The sequence below is a fragment of the Homo sapiens genome, chromosome 5 (genome assembly GCF_000001405.40).
Source record: "Homo sapiens chromosome 5, GRCh38.p14 Primary Assembly".
Lineage (NCBI taxonomy): Eukaryota > Metazoa > Chordata > Mammalia > Primates > Hominidae > Homo > Homo sapiens.
The window spans coordinates 86,469,131-86,474,609 of NC_000005.10; the positions used below are offsets into that span (position 1 = coordinate 86,469,131).

General features: G+C 34.2%; 1 annotated feature.

Annotated features, from left to right (window-relative positions):
• Positions 729 to 929: a silencer, noted in NCBI's record as "peak5329 fragment used in MPRA reporter construct". NCBI's record gives its function as "represses an SCP1 promoter by STARR-seq MPRAs in K562 erythroleukemia cells {active_cell/tissue: K562}" and the evidence as "EXISTENCE:reporter gene assay evidence [ECO:0000049][PMID:32103011]".

The following is a 5,479-nucleotide window of genomic DNA, read 5'->3' on the forward strand; positions in this document are numbered from 1 at the left end:
TTCATAAACTTTTCTACTAAAGGGCCACATAGTAAATAATTTAGGTTGTGCATGTCAAATGGTCCTAGAACAACAAAAGCCATAGACAACACATAAGACTCAATAGGACAGTGTACCAAGAAAACTTTATTTTTAAGAATGAATGGCAGTCCGGTTTTGGCCCAAAGCTCATCATTTTCCAGTCTCTGACCTTGAACAAAACAGCAATATCTTTGTTTCTGACTTATCCTGATAGTGTCTTCCACCTCATTAACAGCCCAAGCACATTCTGTATCACTCTTATCACTCTTACCTCTTCCCTGTATCCTACATTGATTTCTCCCCTTTAATCTGCCAGTCAGAAATCTTAAATGCAGAAGTCCACTACCACTGAACTATGAGATCTTGGATTCTCTTTAATTTGTAGAAGTTCAATTTGTGTTGCTGGACATGCTAAGTTTTCTGCAAACGTGCTTGATTGCTAAACATTTGATCTTTTAAATTATAATGTAGATTACATGTATGAGGATAAACTTTGCCATATCTGTTTAAACTCTGGTCAGGTTGATTGTTTAAGTGCCATAAATATCACTTATGATTCTAGACAATTCATTTTAAAATAGTAAGTCAATATTAAGCATTTACTGTTTATGTGAATCTATTCAAAAAGACAAAAGTCTTAAGACAAAGGTCCAATGTAAGTATTAATAGTTTCCCTTTGCAAAACTGTATTTTGCTCCTGTTATTTTCATGAGAATTGGCTCTTCTGAAAGGTGTGCTTAGTCAAGGAGTAAATAACTCCCTCCAGAAACCACATAAACCTTATCTACACTGCTTACATCCTTCAGTGCGCTGGGAACCAATATATTTAAGTTCTGACCCTCAGGTCCTTGTGTACTTTGTACTATCTCTGGAATTTTCCCTTCTCATCTCATTTCCTCAACTCCATGTTGAAGACCTCTGATCTCTGGCTGGCATTACTGTATAAAATCTTGCCCAGTACTTTTTCAAAAAGGATTTTAAAAGCACTGAAAAGAAAATAGTAAATAAAAAGTAATTTTAATTATTAAAAATGTCGTGTTCAAAAGATAAGTTTTTAAAATATTAGTTGAAAGTATAGTTTCTTTAAAATGCAAGCATGGTCAGCAAGGGAATTCAGGTTATGTCTCCTAAACAGGTGAAGATCACAAACACAAGAAGTCCAATATATTCTAATATAGTGATTATAACAAATAAACTGCAGATCCAAGTTAGGTTGGATCCAGATGTTCTGCTGAAATATAGCAGAAGAGCTACAAGGCAGAAGGGTAATGCATGTTAAGCATACAAACATTCACACCTGTTGGAAAATAGATCTGTGTATGCACTATAATCTTTTTTAACATTTCTTTTTTAAAATCTTAAAAGGACATGCCTGTAATCCCAGCACCTTGGGAGGCAGAGGCAGGCAGATCACTTGAGCTCAGGAGTTTGAGACCAGCCTAGGCAACATGGTGAAACCCTGTCTCTACCAAAAATACAAAAAATTAGCCAGGCACAGTGGTGTGTGCCTGTGGTCCCAGCTACTCGGGGAGCTGAGGTGAGAGGAATGCTTGAACCCTGGAGGCGGAGGTTGCAGTGAGCTAAGTTTATGCCACTGCACTCCAGCCTGGGTGACAGAGCGAGACTCCTGTCTCCTGTCTCAAAAGAAAAAGAAAATTAAAGGAAATATAAAATAAGTAAAATGTAATAAGTGAATCTGCTTCTTATTCAGGGCAAAACAAAATAATCAATTTCAGCAAAGATGGAAGCAATGAATACACATTCTAGAGCAGATTGCCATGGAAGTGATGGCCAGAAAACCACTGGTATTAAACAACCAAAATATTTTACAGTTAAATTATTCATTGACTCTTAAGCTAGAACCTTAATTACACTTGACATTAAATGACAGTGATTACAGGTATATTAGGTTAAGTGACCTTAGTCTAGGTTTCGCTATATAAAACTTTTACTCTAAAGAATATTTTTATTTATTAGCTCTCAGGCTGGTTACTAGTACCTCATTGTTCCCATCTATAAAAAGAAGATAATGTTTACAATTGGTTTGAAAAGTTAATGATATTTTGTTTATAAATTGTGGAGCATAGAGCCTGTAATATTATATCTCAATGAATATTTTTATTATTTTAAGGAGAGCCTAGCCTGCTTGAAGGCATCAGATAAGTATACACATCATTTTTCTATGAGTCAAAAACTTGAAAGATCCAATTAAAATGATATCCACGAAGGGTTATGAGACTTCAAATGAAACAGGAGCTAAAGACAAACATAATCATACCTGGGAATTTTATTTCATGATAGAAAAACATCTTTAATTGTCACCCAGTGGTACAACTCTAGATGTAGGACATTTTCCCTGGGGTTGGGGTACTTTTTAAAAGTAGATCTAAATATCATAATTGTTCCCAATAGACCCAACTACATCAGCATTTCCCAAAAACTACACTAGGTTGGATGTGGCATTCTTTGAAAGATGCAGTGTTTCTTTGAATAGTACTAAGATGATATTTCTCATATTTATCTTGCCTTCCTGAAAACTATTTCTCTTGTTGTTGTTCTGAAGAAGAGGTGGGGGTCAGGGGGCTGTTTATAAACTTATTACAAAAGACTTCCAACCTCAGAGAAACAGTTTGAAGAAAGGCAAAGGAGGCAGAACAAATCATCCTGGAGAAATAAGAAGGCAGAAAACACTTGACAAAGGCAAGTCAAGCCTAACTACATTTTAATAGAGACTGTAAAAGTTCCATTATCTGGCCAAATCTCTTGGAATCCCCTTTGTCCTTTCTGTAAGTCCATCTTGCAGCTTCTGTGTACCTTGCTTCTCACAACCTGCACCTGTGACTCTCTTCAGAGACCTTCCTTTGAGCTCCTGGACCACTTTTCCTCTCATGCACAGAGAGCTAGAGATGCCCAGGTGTGAGTTTACATTATATCCCCAGGGCGGCCTTAGCGAATGGCCAACTAGTGCTGCAGATAGAAAGCCGAAGGACCTTGTCTCAAATCAAGACAGACTGTAAGGCGTAAGTTTCATTTTTAAGTTTCCCCAGGAATCAGACTGAAGCTGGGATTTTATGTGAAATTATACCTCTGTTTGGCTTCCTCTGCTTCCCTTTCTTGATTCCTCTATCACTTTAAAGATTTCTCTTGGATCATTTCCTTAGGAAATCATTAACAAATCCTCCTAACAAAAGCTGTCTCAGTGTCAGCTTTTGGAGAATCTGACTCCAAAGAAGGAGACTGTGAAAATTTTGGTTGATTTTTAGTAACTTTATACATTTCCTCATATGTGTTATTTTTGTTGCACCCATCTTCCTTGTCCTGATCTGTTTCTCAATGGTGAATGTAAATTTAAAAAAAAAGAATGAAAATCAGGCAGATAGAAATTGGATATGTTAGAAAATATTATACCATACTTTGTACTCAACTGGACCTGAGAATGGGGAAAGGAAGAGTGGGAGAACCAAATCTCAGAGAAGACAGTGTAGACAGTTAATCAGAAAAAAAGAAAAGTCATCTAGCTAAATGGATAGGGCCTGCAAAGCAAAGACAGTTCTTGTGGTCTTGGCCCAGCATTGCTAAGAATGTGGCCAAAGATTTCATTGGTTGAAGTTCCATCATAATCCTGTTGAAAAATGAATCGAGCAGAAGAGGCCTGCAATGTGCCAGAAATCAGGCATCTAATAATTTGGCAGTCTCTCATAAAGATGATTATGTAGAGCTAGAAAGGACCTAAGCTACACTTACATCTATTTTACTGAAATGCCCCAACAAGCCTAAATTGAATGAAATTGTTCTTTCCAATTTCCACCTTATCATGTTATCTCATATTTAAAATAACTTATTTTCTCTTTAGTTCAACATTCATCTTATTTATGTAACTCAATTTCAGTAGCATATTTGGAGGCCAGTGAGTGTTGGAGTTGCTGAGTGTGGGGCAGAGTGCAAAGGGAAGGATATGATAAACAATATGATTTTTATCAGAACCTGAATCTCCTTACAAATCTCTGATGAAAATTATTGTAAAAATGTTATTCATTATTTGCTACAGACCTACAAAAAGTAGCTTGAGACAAATAAAGATTAAAAACTACCCACAAGAGAACAAGGTCAACTCATTGACCTGGCATTCTCAGAAGAAATTCAAATTTTGAACGTTGTAGTGAATGCATTTATGCTGATACAGTTCCAGTTCTAGAGAATATACTTATGTAGGTACAGGTCCATCTGAACAGGTAATACATAAAAGGCTAGAATCTGTCAATGTCTCTAATATTATTCTAGCTTGTGATGACTGTTCTATAAATGTCTGGCAATGAACAAATTGCCATGGGCCAGTTGCAGATGACTCAGTATAGTCTGTATTATGTATCCCTTATGCTAAAGAATTCACAATCAGGTTCTTGAATGTATTTCAATTGGTTGCAATACTTAGTTGGTAATATTCATGTCACATACACATAAAATTATATTTTCTAAGAAATATAGATATTCAAAATGTATTTACATCTTAGTTACTTTGAATGAGACTTAGAGATTTTCACACATGATTATAATCAAGTATTTTAAGTAAAAGTAAACTAGTTTTATGTAGGTTATGAAATATAGGAGGAATATCTCTAGCACATGAGGAATCACTTTCCCATATTAGAAAGACTACTTCCTTTCAAGGAAGAGTTTATCAATAATTAATAATTTCCTCCTCAGTTAAAAAATGTTTTACACATTCAAAAAGTAAAAAAGAATACAAAATCAATGAGAAAATATTCAAATATATAAACTTATATAAAGTGAAAATAAAAGACTCAATCACCTCTAGAAAAAAACCCTGATTGACATCTGGATATGTGTACTTCAGTATAATTTTCCGAGTCCATTTGTGCATTATTTTAAATTGTCTATATTTTTGTGTAAGTTGCTCTTTTAAAAAACATTAATAATGTATTGTGGTCATTAATCCACAATCATTATGCATACAGATTGACTGTCCCTTTTAACAATTGCATAACAATCTATCAAAGAACATCTTTTATTTATGGCCTTCTAAATTATTTCCACCATTGTTTTTATATATTCAGTGTGTGTGTGTGTGTGTGTGTGTGTGTGTGTGTGTGTGTATACACATTATACATATATAAAATGTATATGAAATGAGTATATTCACAAGGGTAATGCTTTATATAGATATAAAAGTATATTAAAATATCTAATATATATGTATCTATATATGTATACATACTATATAAAACATATATATAATCTGTTTTATTCATTACAACATGCCTATACACATGTATGTCTTGCCTCTATTAAAAATGTCTTTGAAGCATATTATAAAAAGCCTAATTGCATGTCATCAATGAAGATATATTTAATTCCAAAACTATATATATACATATATATATATATGATTATTTTTACCTATGGAAAGAAAAATACTGCTTTTCCCAGATATACATTA